The sequence below is a fragment of the Homo sapiens genome, chromosome 7 (assembly GCF_000001405.40).
Source record: "Homo sapiens chromosome 7, GRCh38.p14 Primary Assembly".
Lineage (NCBI taxonomy): Eukaryota > Metazoa > Chordata > Mammalia > Primates > Hominidae > Homo > Homo sapiens.
The window spans coordinates 86,954,672-86,977,078 of NC_000007.14; the positions used below are offsets into that span (position 1 = coordinate 86,954,672).

The window sequence follows — 22,407 nt, forward strand, 5'->3', positions numbered from 1 at the left end:
ATCAAATTTATATCTCACTAAGTATAAATTCATTGTAATCCATCTTGTCAGTTAATATCAGCTAAGTATAATTATATATATTTGTGGGGAAATATAAAGTAAATCAATTCCAGGATCAAGACAAGCCCATATGTCTATTTTTCTTCAATGGGTTAGTCTTATTTAAATAAGATGAATAAGGTTCAAACCATAGACATTCTTATATCGACGACACGCTGATGCTCTTGCAACTGTTCTTACTATTACTCACTGCCATTAAGGATAATACAAAGAAAGAGAACAATGCTTAGTGTGTGAACCTCACAAATAAGTTCTACTTCCATCTCTCATGTAGCCAATTAATTATCATTATCAGATAATTAAAACTTTAAGTGCCTGCCAGATTTATTATCATTCTTTTCACACACCAAAAAAGCAGAAAATGGCATCTAAGAGAGACTGAACAGCATATTGAATCCAGCAAATCTCAGATCTTCTTCCTCCTTCAGTACCAGTGATAAGGACAGCACTTGAACACCATCCTTTTAAGCTGTTATTTGTGAAATTCTTAGAGAAGAAAAAGTAATCTATAATTCTCATTTTATGAAAATAAAAGTATGATAGGGAAAGTCAAACAGTACATTAAAACAGGCCATTTCTTGCTGATATTCTCTTAATCACAGTAAAGCAGATTTTTTCCCCTGGCTGAAGGGAATTCTTGTTCTCTCTAATTGGGAATTTTTTTTTTATCCTGAGGGTAGTTTTCATGTCAAAACATACAAGGCAACAATGAAAGCTGGTTGTGAGTACATCAACTATCTGTCATGTTCAATTTAAGGCTGGAAGAGGAGAAAGGAAGGTAACACTGTCCAAATACTAATAGTGGCAGACATTGCAATATTCCTATCAGAAGAGAATATTCATGAGCATTAAGAAGATATATTAGTATTGCACTATAATTCACAGGTAATGTGATTTGAGGCATGATTTGATCACAGAATGAATAAATCTGTGATATGTAATAATAACAATTAAAATAATCAGAATCACCAAAAGAGACCTTTGAGATTATCTGATCCAAACCATCCCAATTCAGATTCCAAGTTTCTTCTTCTGTGTAACCATAAGCAACCAAGTTCAACTTTTCTACTGTTTCTAGTGGCAGACTTTCTAACAGACTCCATGACTCTCTACCCAATAAACCCACGGTTACCATGCAGCCAGAAGATTTTAGTATAACTAAACTGAGAAAAATCCACTGTCTTCAAGTGAAAAATAATAGCATTAGAAAAGAACTCTGCAAAAAACAAAAAAAAAAGGAAAAGAAAAGAAAAAGAAAAAAAGAAAACAAAAATAAAAGGGGAAAAAAAAAGAACTCTGCCTTAAAAGTCACAGGATGTGAGTTCTAGCTCCAGCAGTGTCACTTAGCCATCTGAAGTAACAGATGCAAAGCTGCTATGTCAGCTCTGAAGTGGCATGATAAAATTATCAGAACTGAAATCTTGAAGCCCAATCCCACCAATAACAATTTTTAATTTTTCACTAAGAGTTGGCGGTGAAGTTGTAGGACACATGGATATACTTTGTAAGTTACTTGTGAAATTCTCAGAGAAGAAAGAGAAACCTGTTTTCATCTTTCATTTTACAAAACAAAAGTGAGATGGAGACACACAAAAGAGTACAGTAATATGAACCCATTCTAGCTAGCATTTCCTAACTCACTGTTCCCTGAAAAGATTATTTAGTGAAAAGTACTGCCTTTATATTTCTGAAAACTAATTTCACATCCAACATCCTTTCCAGTGGGTCTTCACATAGCCCTATCAAGTGGAACTGTATGACTATCACTGCATTTCTTAGGACTTATCAGCCAGAAGCTTGATAATTTAAAAGTAGAAGTCACCTCCTGGCAAGAAAACTGATACGTGTGACACCACAGATAGTAATCCCCGTTAAATCAGCAGAGGCTAGATTTAAAGTTCATATCTTTTTATAAGAAAAGCTAACTAAGGAATGTTTAATCTCTGAAAGAACAAAACAGAAATGTATTTTATTGCAGCTTCTTGACTTCAATGTTTGATGGGGGAGGGGAGAAATCTCAGTTCATTGGGCACAGGATGACACAAGGCTTACAGAAAAAAGACAATAGTGAAGGTCAAGGGAAGAAAAATGTTCAGAGTATGTGATGAGGTCACCCAAGGGGGCAGAACAATACATCCGTGAAATCAGTTTTCTCAACTTTCAATTATGCCCTACCACTTCGATTCTTATCATCCTAAACTTTTCCTCTTCCTTAGAAAGTGTCAGTCACCTTCTACTTCTTGATAGTCTCTGACCTTGATTCTGCAGTTTTGAGGGCTGAGTTTTCTCATCTCCTCATAAAACACTTTTTTCAGAGAAGTTCCCCCAACCATAGCTCCCATCAAACAATACGATTGACCTAAAGTCTGATTTTCAGCTTTTCTCAACTGTTTTCATCTCATCTCCCAATCTGATTCATTCTAACCTTTCAGCTATCACTTGTGTGTTACAGAGGAGGTTTAACTTTGTCTTCGCACACCTGGAACTCAATGTAGCAACATTCCAAACTAAGCCTTCTGAGGACAAAATATTTGACAGCATTTTGTATGTCAATTTGTCCCTTTATGTATAGAACAAATTTTTACAAATCTGATTAGACCTTTGTGTTTCACCTACAAAAATAAAACACTAAAGTCAATCTCTAATTTGGTGGCACAAAAGTTACTCAATCTACAAACATTCCAGTGTTCTGCAGCTTTCTTAGGAGCCATGAAAGGATTATATATTCTGTCCATGAGAGTTTACTCTCCTCTAGGAAGAAATTCTATAGTTGAAAAAAGTGTCATTTTTTTCCTAATACCAATTAAACAATGAAAACATATTCTATATATCAAGTACCAAACAATATGTTAAGTATGGGGAAAAAAAACAACTGGCTAATCAACTTATCATTGCATATGAGGATATAGCAACAAACATCTCCTAAATTCTAAATGTTACTCTCTCATCTTTTTGAAAAATATAGACAATTAAGAATAAAATCTACTACCAGGTATGATGTTAGGTACGAAGCTACTCAGGAAGTGGAGGCAGGAGGATCACTTGAGCCCAAGGTTTTGAGACTATAGTAAACTGATTGTGCCTGTGAATAGCCACTGCACTCCAGCCTGGGCAGCATGGCAAGACTCATCTCTAAAAAATTTATTTTATTTTTATAAATCCTTAAAAAATGAGAATACAATCTATAAAGAGAACATTAATCAATTAAAAATGACCCACAAAACAACATATCTGAGCCTTTAGATGCCATCTTTTAAAAAGTCCATTTATCTCTCCAGGATATTAATTTGCATCACATTTCTATCAAGAGGTAAATGTTAGGGGTGTGCAGATGCCTCAGGATGGGGATAAGCACTTGTTCAATATATACTAGCAGTGTATTCCAAAGAGACAGTCCCATAGACATTAAGAACATAGACCCAAATTCTAGGCTTCCTGGTTTCAAATCTCAGTTCCCCCTTTGACCTGAATTTGTGACTCTGAGCTATTGTTTTAGTTTCCTAATCTGCTTTTTATAAAGGGAGGGGGAAAGGCAAATTAATAAAAATTTCTACTTTACAAGGTTGTTGTAATGACTAAATGAATTGGAATGAATGCAGGTAAAGCATTTACAATTATACCTGGCATATAGCAAGTAAAGATTGGCTATTATTTTTTATTATTATTTTAGTCATTATTACTGTTGCTATATTATTGTATAATTATTATTCCAGGACTGCAGATCACATTTATCACCTTATTTAACCCCCTTAACCACCTGTGAATGGCTGTCTCCAGGTCAAAGTCCAGAGTCCTTGGTAGGACAGAGAGCAGCCGGCCGATTGAGTTGCCAGAATCTCTGGCCCTTCCCACATCCTCCCTGAGTGCCAGCCATTCAGATCTCACAGAGCACCCAGGAAAACCAGATGCTGCTCCACTTGGCACCTTCATCCTGTTTCCTATACCTGGAATGTCACTTGCATCAGGTTAAAGAACTTCTTCCTTCAGAATTCACCTCAGAGAGCCTCAGAGAATTAACATACATGGCTCAGAAAGTGTGATGCTTCCAGCTTTGTTCTTTTTGCTCAAAATCGCTTTGGCTATTCAGAATCTTTTGTGGTTCCATATGAGTTTAGGATTTTTTTTCCATTTCTAGAGATTCTTGAGGTTTTAATAGAGATTGCATTAAATCTGTAGATGACTTTGAGTAGTAAGAATATTTTAATAATACTAAGTATTCCAATCTACGAGCATGGGATAACTTTCCATTTATTTGTGTCTGCTTTCTTTAATCAGCGTTTATCATTTTCAGTGTACAAGTCTGTCACCTTGTTTAAGTTTATTCTTAAGTATTTCATTATTTTTGATGCTATTATACATAGGATTGTTTTCTTGATTTCTCTTTGGATAGTTAATTATTAGTGTATAGAAATGCAACTGTTTAAAGTTTATTTTGTATCTTACAGCTTTGCTGACTTTACTAGTTCTAACGGGTTTTTGTGTATGTGTGTGGAGTCTCTAGGGTTTTCTAGACATCAGATCATGTCATCTGCAAACGGAAATAATTTTGCTCCTCCTTTTCTGATTCGTATGCCTTTTATTTCTTTTTCTTGCCTAATTGCTTTGTCTAGGACCTTCAGTATTATGTTGAATAGAAGTGGTGAAGGTGAACGGGATCCTTGCCTTATGCCAGATCTTAGAAAAAAAAGCTTTCAGTTTTTCACAACTGAGTATAATATTAGCTATGTGCTTGTCCTATATGGCCTTTACTGTGTTGAGGTAATTTCCTTCTATGCCTAAGTTAAGAGTTTGTATCATAAAAGAGTATTGAATTTTGTCAAATGTTCTTTCTGCATCTATTGAGATGATCATGTGGCTTTTGTCTTTCATCCTAATTATGTGGTATATCACATTGATTGAGCTGCATATGTTAACTCATTCTTGAATCCCAGTGATAAATCCCACTTGGTCATGACATATTCTTCTTTTAATGTGCTATTAAATTCAGTTTGCTGTATTTTGCTCTAATCTTCATTATTTCCTTCCTTAGGCCAGTTTTTAGCTTAGCAGTTTATTATTTTGCTAGTTCCTTGACTTGTAATGTTAGGCTGCTTGAAATATGTCTTTTCTTAATGTAGGTACTTATTGCTATAAACTGCTTTTGCTGCATCAAATAAGTTTTAGTATTTTTTGTTTCCATTTTCATTTGTCTCAAAATATTTTCTAATTTCCCTATGATTTCTTCTTTGACCCAATGGTTGTTTAAGAGTGTGGTTTAATTTCCATGTATTTATCAACTTTCCCATTTTCCTTTTGTTGTTGATTTCTGGTTTCACTCCATTGTAGTCAGAAAAAATACTTGGAATGATTTTAATCTTCTTAAATTTGTTAAGAATCATTTTGTAACCTAGTATATGATTTATCCTGGAGAATGTTTCATGTGTTTGAAAAGAACATGCATTCTGCTAGTTTTGGGTGAAATGTTCTGTGCCTACCTGTTAGGTCCATTTGGTCTATAAAGCTGTTTAAGTCTGCTGGTTTTGTTTTTGTTTGTTTTTGAGACGGAGTCTCACTCTGTCGCCCAGGCTGGAGTACAATGGCACAGTCTCAGCTCACTGCAACCTCTGCCTCCCAGGTTCAAGCGATTCTCCTGCCTCAGCCTCCCAAGTAGCTGGGACTACAGGTGCACGCCACCACACCTGGCTGATTTTTTTGTATTTTTAGTAGAGACGGGGTTTCACTATGTTGGCCAGGCTGGTCTCGAACTCCTGACCTCATGATCCACCAACCTCGGCCTCCCAAAGTGCTGGGATTACAGGTGTGAGCCACCACACCCAGCCTGCTGTTTCTTTACTGATTTTTCTGTCCACGTGATCTGTCCATTATTGTAAGTAGGATATTTAATTCTCCTACTATTATTGTATTACTGTCTATTTTTCCCTTTAGAACTGTCAATGTCTGCTTTATATATTTAGATATCCTGATTTTGAGTGCATATATATTAATAATTATTCTCTCTTCATGTTGAGTTGACCCTTTTATCATTATGTAATTAACTTCCTTGTCCCTTGTGACAGTTTTTGACTTAAAGTCTATTTTGTGCAGATAGTGTAAGTCTGCTTATTTCTTAACGTCCATTAAATATGGGTTATACCAATAGATTTGAGAAAAAAAAAGTCTGTATTTGATTTTTTTTACTTGTCTGCATATAGCACTTTATCTAAAACAACTAAATATTAGAAGTTTATAACCAATTATTCAAATTCTAGACTATAAATACTTATATGCATAAATATATAAAAGTCATGTTTGAAGCCACATTAATTCGCTATACTCTGTATGAGAAATACAAAAACTATACACACATATATACAACAGACATTATACATACATATATACACTTCTATATACATCTATATGTATTACTTCATATGAATTATTGATTCACATATTCTAAATACTAAAGCACAAGATTAAACAAAGTCCCTAAGACTATGACTGATTTGATCCTTTCCTAAATTAAAGATATCTTAATCATCTTCATTTAGAAAGTGGTGTGTTGTATAGCTGAAGAACAAATTAATGGAAAAAATAGGAAAACAACATGGTATATTAAGGTTGTACCTGAAGTTATGGACTCAGATATATTTTAAAGAATAAGCAATTGAAGAGCTATACTCCCCAAATAAGAGAATATAAAAGGGAGAAATACATTATGTTTATTTCCCCTTCAGAGTTCCAGATTGTCTGAAAAATATGTAAAGGAACTCTCTCCCTACTTATACCCCAGATCAGACCTTTATTTCTAAGGTTTGGTTTGAAGCAAAAGGGCTTTGTCCCAAATGAGAAAGAAAGAGAGAACATAGCCCAGGAAACTGCTCTATCCTCTCTGATGATCTAAGAACATCCAGTGAAACTGAGAGGTTCAAGGAAAGATTTTAGAAGCCATTGTTCTTCAAGAATAAATGAGGAGAATGACCCAACAGTGAAGAAGATATGGATTGGAACAGGGGTTACATCCCTTTGGTCTGAGATTAAAACAAAGAGTGTTGTGGTTCAGGAATGGCATGCTACTTGCAAGACCTTGAATGATGGATGATGCCCACAGATGCTAAACTCTTGGCACCAGGGCCTTAAGAGAAGTGCCAATGTTCCCTGTGGCTGAGCCTGGAGCTAGCGGAGAGGAGGAGAGAGATGAGATCATCTCAGTGGCCTGCCCAGAGAAGCACTAAGCAACTGATGAGTTCTCCACAGCAGAGAGGACAAAAAGACAATGGGGATCAGTGTCAATTAACAACCAGAAGCCTCTTCATGCTATTTCCTGAGCCCTGTAAGCTTCAGAGTCACATATACCCCAGGGTTCTAGAACAACAAAAACTGATACCTGACTTCTCATTAACTTCACTCAGAGGAGCCTTGCAGCCAGATCTTATGTAATCTTTAAAAAACAAATATATAATATAGCTTGCCAATCAATTATCTGAAAAAATTTCCAACTGCTTCATAAACATTCCTATAATCCTTTTCCTCAGGAAAGGCCTCCCCCACTGCTTCTTTCTGAGAAAGAAGAAAAGAGATACCCAATTACATTTTAAAGAATTTTTAGCAGTTCCCACAAAGGCCAAATTCTGGGTTTCATTTTATTTTGAGACATTTAAGATCTGTGAAATCATGTTCCACACAATCACTCTCCTAAATATTCGTCACTTACTTGAAGTTGCCATGTTCTACTACTTAATTTTCTTTTTCTGTATGAGTCAATTGGTGGGTCCACCACTGAGTTTTATGTCCCCCTTATGGAGACCTGGAAGCTTCTCCAGGCTGCTATCTTCGAGTGGCAGGTTAACTCAGTGGGTAAGACACAGGCTCTAGAATCAGACATGTCTGTCTTTGAATCCTAGACCTGCCGCATCCGGGCTATATGACATAAGGTAAATTACTTCACCACTTTAAGTGTGAGTTTCTTTTTTAATAAAATGGAAACACTGATCCTAGTTATCTGAGATGGCTGTTGTGAGGATACAATGGGATAACGACATAAAGCTCTAAGCACAATGTTTGGCACATAATCAGTACTTGAGAAATGGTAGTTATTATTAGCAATAGAAAATCTAAGCTCCTGAAGGAATATCCAGTTACTATGACACTGCCTTCAGCAGCCAAACACTAATGAGTAGTTTAAGTGACACAGTTAAAGTTATGAACTGTGCTTCTAAGTTGCTTAAGCCTATTAACTTACTTGTGAGTTTTAAAACAATTTGTCTTTAACACAAGAAAATGTTCACAAATCTAAGGCCAGATCGACAAATTCCAGAGCAAATGTAAGTATACTATAAGGGAATACTTGGAAATTCAGACTTCAGACAAAACACAAAGATAAAAAATGTCCCAGCCAAAAGTATTATTATTTTTGAAGTATTATCAGAAAAGTATTATCATTTTTAAAGCAAGAATCACTTTTAAGGCAAGTAATAACTAATAGTGACCTGATTAGTAGTCAGAATTTTTAGAAAAGTGCTTGCTAGAGTGTCATATTCCAAATGTTATCTGTGGAACCTTATAGTATATAATGAGCAAAAATGTCTCTGGCAACACTTAACTAAAACCGATTCCTATGCAGGCATCAATTCTGTAACAGATTTTTGACCCCTAGCCAACAAATGTAATCAGTGCTATGCTGATAAGTATTTAAAATCCAGCTCCCAAGGGAAGGGATGCCCTTGATTTGTAGTGTTTGCCAGTTTTCATGGATACAATACTCTACAATGACCCATTTCAAACTAACAATCAGTTCTCAAAAGCCAGCGCTAGCCAAGACCACCATACCACCTAGATATGAAGTTGGCATTCAAAATGGTTAGGAGTCCACTTGAATAGGGTTGTTACAAGAAAACCAAGGAATTAGCCCACAAATGAAAAGTAAACATAGATAAATGATATATAGATTTTTCTAGGCAAGTGACTGAAGCAAATTTACAGTGGGCTAATTACATAGGTATGATTCAGGCTCTGTTTCCCTTTCAACCACATTCCTCTGTCACTGAGAGCTCATCTGCCCTCTGCACGAGTGGTTTCACACACTTGCATCAACTTCTTCTATACAGATGCTCTTGTCTCTTAAGTCTTGTCTCTTAAGACTGTTGCTACACTGAAGCTTTCACCTGCCCACTTGAGGGGCTCTCAGGTTCTCCCTGAATTCACTCATTAATATCATTCACCAAGAAATAATGGTATTTTTCCCTAACTTTCCTCATAAGATTATTGCAGTTTCCCTTTTATCAGTAAATCCACCAATTATGCTAAAACTCCTCCAGCTAGTGACAGAGGAATGCTCTCTATGAATAGAAAGAGATTAGTTATCCAGTTAAGAATTTGCTTGCCTGATCTTTCATTTGGAAACAGAAAAACTAAGCTTTTAGGAATACCACTTGGAAGACTGCAGGAAAACCCAAATACACTCCCTCTCTTTTATTTCCAGCTTCAAACTTTAGTCTACCCTCTCGACTATTTTGCTGCAGGAACCCCTAACTCACTAAATTAACTAAATTAACGATTTTAAAAAGTAAAGTTTTAAGTGAAAATAAATTTACATTTACATTTATTTCATATTTCTCTGTTATTTTATAATGTTGTACTTCAAACCTCCCAAAAGACAAGCTGTTGAATGTGATATCCAGCAATTCTATAATCTCTCTGTAGGTTATACTAAAAAAAATTAAGTTATTTCTATGGCTAAAAAAAATATCCATTGCAAGATGAAAGATTTCTGTGGATGGATTGTGGTAATGATAGTAAACAATATGAATATATTTAATGCCCCTGAACTAGACACTTAGAAATGGTGACGATGGTAAATTTTAAGTTATGTGTATTTCAACAGAATTTAACATTTTTAAAATAAGAAAAAATCCATTAAAAAGAAACTTTGCCACTCTGCCCTCCCATGGTTTCAAATAAGAAAATAGATTTTAAAAAAAAATAATAACATTCTTTAATATTGCCTTTGTCTCATTACAGACTTGAGATATAAGGACATCTAGTGATGAGAAAGGCTGCATTTATTCTGCTGGTTATCAATGCCATATGCTCATTTTTGTAAGGTCTCCTACATTCATTATAATTAACATCTAGGGCTAATATGAAGAGGTAATTGTTTAATCAAGAAAACAAATGGTCAAAATGACAAAACATACTGCATTCTTTGCCTCTCACTGGGTCAGGCAGGCCAGAGCAGTCCACTGCAGAATTTGGAATGGCAACTCTCCACCTGGAGCCACTGCTATCACATTCCGTATATTCAAAGTGATAATCTTTCTGCAAACAATCACAAAAACAAGCCTTTGTTAGAGCCAGTTCTAACGGGACAACTGTGCTTTCTCTATCACCCCAAGCCCCTGTTTCCAAGCTGTACCCTCTCCTTGATTCTTATCCCTCCCCCATCCCACCCACACCAAGCAGCTTATTGATCAAAGAGGTATGGTGCTAGACACAGAGTAGGTGCTGAGGAGATGATGCAGGACAGGACAGTCAACGCTGTCAGGTTGTGACCATTATCCTTTCATCTCACCCATCCAGAAAAGCTACAGCACACTTCCCTATCTCTTGCAGGCTTTTTAAGCTCTAAATAACTGATAGATGTGAGTAGGAGAAAGAGCAAAATAACACTAGGAATTTGACTACTGTCATTGTCCCATGTGTTTCAAAGAAAGAAACAAGAGAACTACTTCCATTGACCTAATTCTCACTCTGTTTAAAATTTAACAGAAGGTGTAAAAATTAATCATCAAATACTAATAAAAGACTACAAGTTTTTAAAGCAGCTCTCCCAGGCTTACCACACATGTACCACAGCAGGCTGCCATCAATTACGGACTATTAAAATTGACCATTAATTACAACTGCCAAATTAAAACCAACCCCCAACCCACTTGTCTCCAGCCTTTGATTGTTTTGAAATTCTCACAATGACCTCCCTTGGTCAGAGCACATTACACATAAGTGATATTTAAACTGAGAAGAACCCAAACAAAATATTATTGGAGCATTTTAAGAATGTGAGAAATTCCAAATCTACCCCAAATTGTTTTCAGTTCAATACCTTACTTATTCAGTTCAAAATCCTGGTTGTGGTTATTCTGCTGCATCCACACTGTTTTGCCTCCCTCACTGTGTCAATGACAAGTGAGAATAGAAACATCAAGCCACATCACCATGCGGACATCAGGAATGAGAAGGCCATTGTCTTTGACCTTCTCTGCATAGCACACTTTGCTAACAATGACTGTCCTAATTTTAACATTTTTTGCAATCTAGATAAGCTGAGATTTCCCAAATCATCAAGTCTGGGTTCCCGTTTATTTAACAGTTCTTCCCTCAATGTATCTTGCTTCTCTCATAATTACTATAAGCAACAAGAAGAACCCAGGCCATTCCTTCAGCACTTTGCTTGGAAATCTGCTCAGCTAAATATCCAAGCTCATCTTACAAGTTTTGCTTTCCACACAAACATAGGACCACAATTCTGCTAAGCTTTCTACCACTATATTAAAGGGGTCACCTTTCCTCCAATTTCCTGGAGGAAACATTGGAATAAATATTTATTTATTTATGAGATATTCCTCTTTTCTTTCGGGGCCCTCACTAGTATCACTTTCAATATTTTTAAAAATATTCTGCTTATGACAATTTACATATTCTTTAAGATGATACAGACATTTTCTGCCATGCTTCTCACTTCCTTCTGAGCCTTCACAGGCAGTCTCTAAAATCCACATTTCTACCAACAGTCTGTTCAAGGCCATCTAGACTTTACTAGCATGCACCTCAAAATTCTCCCAGCCTCTGCCCATTATCCAGTTCTAAAGCCACATTCCCGCTTTTAGGTGTTTGTTACAACAACACTTCCCTTCAAGGTACCAAAATCTGTATTCGTTTCCCATAACAGCCGTAATAAATTAGCAGAAACTTAGCAACTTAAAACAACAGAAATATATTCTCTCACAGTTCTGGAGGCTGGAAGTTCAAAAGCTGTATTACAAGGCTGATCAAGGTATCGCCAGGCCACACTCCCTTAGGCAGCTTGAGGAGAGAATCCACTCCTTGACCCTTCCAGGTTCTGGCGGCTGCCACCATTTATTGCCCTGTGGCTTCATCACTCCAGTCTCTGCCTCTGTGGTACCATTGCCTTCTCCTCCTCTTGTGATAGCATTTAGGGCCCATCCCAGTAACCTCACTTTCTCAAGATTCTCACTTTAAATCTTCAAAGTCCTATTTTGTCATATAAAAATAATATTTACAGGTTCTGGGGATTAGGACTTGGATTTTTTGGACGACAGGGGCAGTAGGAAGGAGTATGATTCAGCCTACCACACCCTCCCATGGTAGAATAGCCTTGGCCTGCCATGTATTTGCATAATTGCTTTCTTGTTTCTCTTGTTCCTTGTTATTTGTATTAGAATGTATGTCTTGGCTAGGAGCTGTGCCTCAGCCCTGTAATCCCAGCACTTTGGGATGCCAAGGTGGGCAGATCACTTGAGGTCAGGAGTTTGAGACCAGCCTGGTCAACATGGCGAAACCCTGTCTCTACTAAAAGTACAAAAATTAGCCGGGCGTGGTGGTGTGCGCTTCCCAGCTACTTGTGAGGCTGGGGCATGAGAATCACTTGAATGCTGGAGGCAGAGGTTGCAGTGAGCTGAGATTGAACCACTGTACTCCATCCAGCCTGGGCAATGGAACGAGACTCCATCTCAAAAATAAAATAAAATAATGTCTGTCTTATTTCCATGTTCCACTGAAAAGATTCTGGCCCCTATATATAAAATTTAGGTGATTTCTTATCATCCTAGCAAAATAATGATACTGTGAAGTCATATGAATTTCAAATAAAGCAAGGCCTCTGAATAAAACAGGTAAGCTCCAAAAAACTTTCCTCCATCACTGCCTCTGTTATTCAGCCTGCCAGTTATGAGATGAGAACAGCAATCAGAACATGGAAAAGGTATTGTGTTTTCTGGCTGTAATGTTGGATGTCATGTGCCAATTAATTTTCCTAAGACTCCTTTATCCTATCTGCCTTCTCTAGATTACTCAAGGACTCTAATTAGAAAGCTACAGCTACTATTGTTACCAAACTCTTAGGAGTTCAGCAGGAAGCTTTAATTTATTTCTTTACAATTTAAAAATACTGAAATGCAAACCTATTTCATGCAGAGGGCAGACCTTGGGGTCAGGGATTTAGATAGTAGCCCAAATCAAATGGGTTTTATTTTAAATTATTTAACAGGCTACTTCATTTGGGCTGGTAACAAATAATAAAAAACAACAAAAAAAAATCTGCTTCTAAAGTCAATCCTTAAATCCATAGAAAGATCTAAGAAACAGTGTGGTACAGTAAAATTGCGAAAGGTACGATGTATATTTTCCAAATATTCTGAATGGCATTCAGGGTACTGAATAAAGAGAATTACAGCACATATGTTTTCAGGTTTATAGGTAACACCCCAAAACTCTAACCACAGATGCAAGTAAACATTGAGCACTTAAAACTGGCCCCTTGGAAACGGAAATTTTCAAAGGATCATTTAAAAGAAAAAGTAGATTATTTCTCATACAAATAGAAAATTAATACATGTCAAAAATTTTGTCATTATTTAGCAAGTCAACCAGTAAGATGTTATCACCAATTCAAAGGAGAATTCGAAGGACATACCAAAACAGGCAATTAGGAAAGTGAAATGAGTTTATTGGGAGATGCAAAACTGGTAAATATCCAGAGGGTAATAATCAATTGCATTTCAAAGGATAAAATACATTTTCATTTCTATGGACAAAAATCATTTGTATTATTATCAGTTACCTACAACTCAGCATTCTAAAACAGTCCAAAGACAATGAAAGGTGCAGGCTGCTATAGAAACTGATCATTCTGAAAGGTGCACTAAAAAGCACATCCAATAATCTTTTCTGCCTATTTTAGCATGCTTCACAATTTTTCCTGAAAAGGGGAAAATTCTTGACAATTTTCCCTACACTTCAGGGCTTCTGACAGTTTATCAACAAACACATTGATATGAGTCAGAGCACACTCCAAACAACAGAACATCAGCTCACAAGCCACACTCTCCAAATTATAAACTGGAAGAAGTGCCTGGGCCCATGCCAACTCAAAGGATGGCAGTTATTTAGACATTCTGCAAAGCACAGAATGCTGGGGTGTGGAGACACTGCCCCAAATAATAAAACAATAAAATTCCCTATAAACCTTGCATTGTAAATATATGGAAACCAGGAAACATCCCAAGAAGAAATAGAACATGGAATTACTCCTCATCACAAAACATGTAAGGAAAAATTACCCTTCCATATAAATCATGGCACACTACACAGGCACGAACTTGCACACACTGACATGCACATTCACAAATCAAAGTACAGATATGAATCCTTGAATAACAAAAATTCAAATTGTGTTATCTTACACCAAAAACACAAAAATTCAGGATACATCCAAGTAAATACTGGATGTCATGGTACCCCCTCAAACACCAAAGTCATCCACACTACAAAAGCTGCATGGTGCTCACTGAAATCCCCAGGGAATCATCTCCCAATTCTCATAACAATACTTACAGTTAAAATATAGACTAGATAATTTTTCAAATAAAATAAAAATAATATGTATATATGTTGACACATTGACCATATATATTTTTATATACTGACATTAACATATATTGCATCTTAAATATGATTTATGCATATAGCAATATATCATTTTCATTAATATATATCATTATTTCCTGGCACTTAATTATTAAATAATTATGATGGCCTAAGGGTTATGGGAGAAATTTTAAGTAAAACATAGTCCCTGTACTCAATAAGCTTATGATTTTGTTGAAGTAGACAACACACACAAAAAACATAAATTTATAAGAAAGCATAAAGAATAAGGGCTCAAAGTGGAACAGTGACATCACAAGTCAGTGCCCAAGTAAAAACTCTTGTCAAAATTTCCAATAAAATTCCTTAACTCTCAGATTTTCTAAGGACCTTTAAATGTTAGAATCGCATTCAGTAGAGTATGTGCGGAAGAGTATACAAAATGCGACCCTATTTTATTATGATTTCAAAGTCAGAAGAAAGCTCTGTGAGCTGGAACAGTGAGAAAAGGCTTTAAGGAGAAGACCCTGAAATATGGGAGGATTTGTAACTATATTAGCACTTACCAGTTCCTTTGAAAATAGCTAGTTTGATAGGATGTGGTAAGCAGCAAGATCAAGCCTGATGAAACTATGCCTAGAGCTGTGCAGTGAAATACATCAGCCTCAGCCTAGGGTGGATGAATAGGTGAGTGAGTGAATGTAGTCTCCGGGTCTTCTATACTCAGATTAGCTCACATTAGTAAACTGCCAATGAGAAAATCAGCTCCCTGATTGCTCCCTGTCTATCTTCTGTAGGCAGTTAAGAGTTGACTGCAGTTAATTATCAAGATACAGCAGATGACCACAAATTCTAGTACAGAATCAAAAGCAGCAGAGGCAGTAGAAAGCCTCTATCTTCAAAGCAGAGAAAATGCTGGTACCTAGAACACACACAGATGGAAAGGACAAAAAGAAGTAAATGTAATTAATTTTCTTCATTTCATTTTGTTCATGTAAAATTCCTTCTCTTTGAATTTTTTAATGTGAAATGTTGAGAACACCATAACCTTGTATTTGATGAGACCGCAAATCCTCTGGGAGAAAGGCTTCCGAATTTAAGTGCTCAGCAAAGAACTTGGCACACTTATTTGAGAGAGCAAAATGGCAAGAGGAAAAAAGGGAGACAACAAGAGATTGCAGTGGCACAATTATTTCAATTCCAGTTGCAATGAGTGTGCATGCCTCATTCTACTATGTGGAAAGGCCAAAAGCAGGAGAATACTTAATGCAGAAATACATGCAACTTATACGAGCTCCTTTAGCCTACATTATTAAGTACATGAGCACAGAACTGTGCAGCAATATTTATATTCAAGTTTTTCTTTTATAAAAGGAACATGATGTTACCATGGAAACCTGCTAAGTAATATGTATCTGATCTATTTATGACACATCCTTTTCACTGTGGCCACTGTATTTCTTTTTAGAAATTATTTTGGAAAAAGTTCATATTTTAAACCTGAGTTCAATGTCTATCTTTGTAAACAGGTGCTCAATTCATTTTTGAAATTATTTATGTTTATTGAGTACCTCCCATATGCCACTGTGTAGACTCTGGGGATACAGCAGTGAACAAAATATCCAATTCTCTGCTCTCATGGGGCTTATATTCTAGTTTTAATGAAAGTACATAAGGTTTCTTTCTTAGAAAGATCCAGCTTAGACTATTTTCTTTCTATGGCTCTCAATCGCTGTAAAAAAACAGGCAATGAACTGGTAACAACAAACCTAGATCCCAACCTCACCTCTGCCATTACTATATTTAAGACTAAGTGACGCAACTAACTCTTTGAACCTCAGGTTCCTTTGAATCTTTGAAAGAAAAAGCTATGCTTCACATCTTATGGTCTATGTTCCATATTTTCACTGTTCTTGATAAAGAGAAACCAACCACATTCTGTAACCATGTATTTCTCAGGAAATTTTCAAAAAATGAACATTCTAAAACATACCTACATATGAATAAATGAAAGAAACATTTCCATTTTCTCAAGAAACCTGCAGCTAGACATTCTACAATAATATTAGAAATATGAACTAAAACCCTCATCGAAGATAATGAGGAAAATGTTTTTAAAATCAGCTTTCTCACATTTAAAGTATATCTTATTGTATAAGACAGACTTCAAGCACATGCATCGTTCTATTATCTAATTACATTTAAACTTATTGAATTAAATATATGTTTATCTCTGCTCCTCACCAACCTGCAAAAGAATGGAGTTTCTAAAGAGAGCAGAGTAAAGGATTAAAAATACCAAAGAGAAGTGAAAACAGCAATAGATGCAGGTGGCAACAATTATTTCTGGAAGATGAAAAGCATAGGTGAGTTCTAATTGACTTATCAAGGCAAGAAAAGCCGAAAGCTAAGGGTAACAGAGATGGGGATTTAAGCTGCAGAAAGACTCATAATTGAAGGTACCAAAAACCTCAGAAATCAGAGGTGAAAAAAAATCTATCTAGAAACAGAAAGACTGGTTGAAAATCTGTTTGAGAATTGTTAAAGTATGCCCCAAGCTGACAGACAATATGGACTCCCTGTGGCTATCTGAGGTGGTCAAAGTTTAAAAAGAACCAGGCAACCATGGCTAGGTGAAGAAGCAGTCATGCATTCTGTGTTCTCAGAAAGATGTAAAAGTGTTAGAGGACCTCGCTTTCTACAATCAAGCCAAACCATTTCTTATTGTCAGTGCCAAGATAAACCATGGCCAGAAACCACCACCCCACAAGCCCACTGGAAACAAATACCTGACAGAGACTTCTGATTTGAGGCTTGGAACCAACCAATCAAAGCTCTTTTGCCCCAGCCAATCAGAGCTTGGTTGTATCGCTCATCAGAATTCAGCTGCACCACCCAATCAGAACCAAGACAGTGTCAATCCTTCATTTGCACAAATGAATCTGATTGGGAACCCGGGCAGTGAGTTTTGCTATAAAACCCTAACCCTCCTTTGTTCTCAGGAATGCAACTTCCTTTTCATTAAAGGCTGCACCTCCCTGGTTTGCAGACTCTTCACTGGAATAAACTCTCCTCCAAATTCCTTTTTAGAGAACTTTTGCTCACAGAATGTAAACCTTTCAGTTTCCCTTCCACATCATGACAAGAGAAGAGTTATTTCCTCTGGGAAAAAATTGAACTAGGGAGGTTACAGATTCAGGGACATCAAGTAAGAAAAAAAAAAAGTTTTTTGTTTTTTTTTTTTTAAATGGAACTATGTAAACAGCTAAGTAATGAAAGATGAGATCCACCTCGGGCACACATCCCCAACACTGAAACCCAAGTCAAGCTACCTCCAATGCCACTGTCCTTTCCGCTTGAACCACCACCCCCAAAGACTAGCAGAGCCATCTTCCTGCCTTCCCAAAGGTGCCTTCAGTGGATGTTATACCCTACACTGGTACTCTTTCCCACATCATTTCAGCTGATTTTCACACTTGCTTACCTTAGAATTGAGATTAGCTGGAATGTAATCTTTATCCATAATATGATCATTACTATTGTCATTAAAAATATTAACATTTGCATAACTCTGTAAGCTTTCCAAAATAATTTTCATGACATTAACCCACTTGAATTTGTCCACAGTATGGTCCCACATAGTAGGCAAGGGTCATCCTCATGGCTACTGACCTATTTCAATCTCATCTCCTGCTGTCCAGATGAACACCACCATCAGCCTAATGGGCCTCTTTGCTTCTGCTCTTGCCCACACCTACTACACTCCACAGCCAGTTCTAAATGGAAGATCTCATTATGTCATCCTTGCTCAAAACCCCAGAATGACTTACCATTGGCCTGAGGATAAAGTCTACAATCTTGGATTGCATAAAATGCCTTTTTCAATTCATTCTCGATCTGCTGCTTGAAGCTTCATTTCTTAACATTATTCATATATGAAATATTGAAACTACAGGATCAAACATGCTATACAATTCCTTGCCTCCAGACCCCAGCATGTAAGTGACTTTTTCTCTGCCCGGAAGGCTCTTTCTGCCCACATCTTGAAATAGCATGTGGAAATCTGTATGATAACAAATCACTGTGTAACAGGTTCTCTTTCAGGTCCACCCCTACTCTTTGCAGGACCAAGGCCAGGAGCATAAATCAATGTGCCTCTTCCTCCTCAATACCTATCCTGCACCCTGAGAGGTCTGCTTCACATACAAAAGGCAACCCCAGCCTGCACATCCAACTCTGGTAAGTGTTCCTGCACAATGGTATGGTCTATTAATACATCAGGAAGATGGACCTGGGAAACCTCACAAAGGACCTGGAAGCAATCTTGGATCTTTTAGGCAGGTAATTTCAAAGTCATGTTAGCAGAGTATGATAAAAAGAAGGTGGGGCATGACATCCAGGTGGCCACAGCTCCTTGGCCCACAGACTGTAAAGCAACAAGAGGAACACAGCTAGAGGAGGACCCTCTATAGTAGAGACCAAGGCAGGGGCCCCTCTTGCCTGGTCTAAAGGTAGTATTGGTTTCTATTATATGACAACATCCAAACATAAGAATAGCAAGAAAGATAGCTACCACTTTATAAACTAAAATTTAAAATTTCTTAGAAGGGAGGGAGGATCCCTCCCTCTACCTCTTGAAGGGTCTTCACGTAACTGGGTAATAGTAATTTTCTTTTTTTTTTAATTCCAAACCCAAATTAAAATCACAACGGTATATGAAAGTATAATTTTCCAAAAAGGGAAAAGCAAAATCCTTGGAAACCCATTTGTTCTGTCTAATTATATATGGTTACAAACTTAACTGTATATAAGCTAATAAATTCTTCTAAATTAATCAGGCTGAAACTAAAAGGGCGTCTTTGCTTTTGCAAGGTTTCAGCAACTGCTTACTATTTAATAAGCACCAAGAGAAACTACATCAAAATTTCCAAATATATTATATATACCCCGTGATACCTCAATTCCACTTCTAGGCATGTAATCCAAGGAAGCCATGTTTGTATCATAGCATTATTTAAAATAGTGAAAACTTTAAAACAATTTAACTGTGAAACAATAAGAGACTGGTTAATAAATTAGGGTACACACATAATAAGATTTCATATAGTCCATTTTAAAATAATACAAAGGTATATTTAATAACAAAATTATTTATGACACATTTAAGTGTTAAACACAGGTTATAAAGCAATATATCTGAACCCCTGTAGTGTGTGTGTGTGTGTGTGTGTGTGTGTGTGTGTGTGTGTTGGATACATGAAAAAAGACTATAGGCATATATACCAAAAGATTGACAGTAGTTAACTAAGTGATGTGACTATCTTTATTCTATATAATTATGTATTATCAAAATTTTCTACAGTTAAAATATATTTATTTCCCTCAGTTCAGTTAACTGCTTTGCCAAGACATAAAAAAAAATTCATATTTCTCCTTACTTTAGGATATCTGGTGGGACATGGGAAAATTCAAATGGTACCACTGAAGGATTATTCCATAACATTCATTAGCACCTCAGTCTAAATCACTTTCCCTGATGGGTGACATTCACCTAGCAAGGCTTTAAAGGCCAGGTCATAAGTAAGACACAGGTCAGATAAGTTCTGAAGAAGGGAAAATCTAACGCTTAAGTACTTTCGAAATGAGCAGATACAAGAAGGATTCTGCTACAGAGTGGATAAAGAAAAGTGGGAATAGTCAAACGAGAGAAAAGAGAACAAAGAGATGATGGAGCACAGACAGCACAGTTCGCTGACTTCAAAATTTGGCTTCAGAAGGGATAACTCCACATCTGAATTCAGCTAAGCCGCTGGCAGATCTCAGACAGAAAAAAAATTATAAAAATTCAATTTAAATGTAAAAGCTGATTCTTGCCAATGCTGCCACTTGAAATTGAGCTTTACTTTGTACAGAAATAGTATAAGTGATAAATGGCTCTGAACATTAAGACATCCAAAATTATGTTTTTGTTTGCAAATTGTGAGATAAATAAAAATAAGTGAGTTATTTAAGTTCTTTTGCACTCAACTGACCCTGTAAGAATCTCTTAAATCAATAGATTTTTTAAAAAATAATAATGTAACCCTAATAATACCTCTGTCATAACTATACTTTCTAAAATTAACCTTAAAACATCTATTAAAAGGTTTTCTTCTTAATCATAAACATTAGACACCTGCTGTTCTGTCTGCCTGGCATGGCTTTCCTATTTCTTTAGGTAACAGCATGCCCCCTGCTCTCATTACACTTTGCAGTTCTGAGTGGGCCAACCCCTGGCCAGGCCCTAATATGGACATGCTATCTGGACAGTCACAATAAACTATTCACACTGGTGCTAACCAAGATGGAGAAAGTCCGCTACAGTTTCTTTTTCCCACTCTGCCCAAAATATAAAAGCAAGACTCTGCAAAATAAACAGCAGGTAGTCTGAATAAGAAAGTCAAAACTTTCTAACAGCTAATACAATGGTAGGGAGTTACCGGGCTTCTTTTCTTTCCTTTTTCTCCTTGAGCTGAAGGTGGGCCAAATCAGGGAATTGCACAGTGGGTTCAGAATGCAAAAAACTACAAGAGAAGCCCATTTTTCTGGCCAGAAGAATAAGAAAAGAGATCCCTGTGGTTGGAGTACTGGGAGAGGGGAAATGGGATCAGAAAGTGAGAGGGATATCCATGTGCTTTTTTTCTTCTTTTTCTCTTCCAGTCCTTCCCCACGGCCAGCACCAGCTTAGAACAGCACTGATTCCACAACAACCATGCAAACACCTAATATGCCAAGAGAAAACCTCTCTCTCTAGATAAGATAACTAGAACAGGGACTTCAGCTGTGCAAAGAGCTTAGGAGAAAATCCTTATTATTCTTTTTCTTCCTTCCTTCACTTGTCACTTCATCCCAGGCAAGTAGAATTGCACAAAAACATGCAGGCTAAAACTATACAATAATCCATCTTTCTGGCCAGAGGAAATATAAAAAGCAGTCCTGAGAAAATATTCCAGAGAGTAATAGAGAAGATAATCCTCTGGTTCAGTCTATGAAGTAACAGTCCCAGGCTCACCTTCAAACTGTGCAAATATGGAATATACTCAAAGAAGTATAGCAAAGGCATGGAGAGCTGAACTACAATATAAACCACTATCTGAACTAAACCCTGAGTATTGAGCAAGGGGCAGATGATCCTGCCCCTCACCTGCCCCCTCCACACACACAAAAGATAAAAACAGCCAAAGTTTTGAAAACTGAATAGACACTGGAAGGAACCACCACACATAAAAGGGAGAAAAAACATGTGGTCTGAACCTAACCAGGTCAACTGGCTGCTGAAACAAACCAACCGTCTACAGAGGATTTTATAAGGATCTAGAGATTCACAACATAATATTAAAAATATCCAGAATACGATCAAAAATCACTTGGATATACAAAGAACAAGGAAAATCCGACTAATGCTCCAGAGAAAAGACAATCAACATATAACACCACCAAAATGTCACAAATATTAGATTCTCTAAAAAATGTAAAGCATCTATTACAACCATCATGCATAAGGTTAAGGTACTCTAGGGCCTGGGGTCCTCAGAACTGCCCTGCATAAGTTCTGTGTTTTCAAGCTTAAACTGTGTGAGTCGGGTTGCTGTCACTGCAACTATGGGTGCTAACAGATACTTGAGATAGGCAATAATTCTATAATACCAACTCATATTTATGTATGTC

The 22,407-nt window shown here is 36.7% G+C and overlaps 1 protein-coding gene across 10 annotated transcripts in view; it reads right to left on the reverse strand.

Annotated features, from left to right (window-relative positions):
* ELAPOR2 (endosome-lysosome associated apoptosis and autophagy regulator family member 2) overlaps nucleotides 1-22,407 on the reverse strand; it is a 182,749-nt gene that overhangs the window by 77,766 nt on the left and 82,576 nt on the right. For 6 of the 10 annotated variants that reach the window (XM_011515918.3, XM_017011843.2, NM_001142749.3 and 3 more), the window contains exon 2: nucleotides 10,233-10,353. The exons of 2 other annotated variants lie outside the window; for them this stretch is intronic. In XM_011515918.3, the coding sequence (XP_011514220.1) occupies nucleotides 10,233-10,353 (121 nt within the window). Of the gene's footprint in view, nucleotides 1-10,232; nucleotides 10,354-11,137; nucleotides 11,229-22,407 lie in introns of those variants that run through there. 2 more of the 10 variants (NM_152748.4, XM_006715894.4) reach the window with 1 other exon arrangement.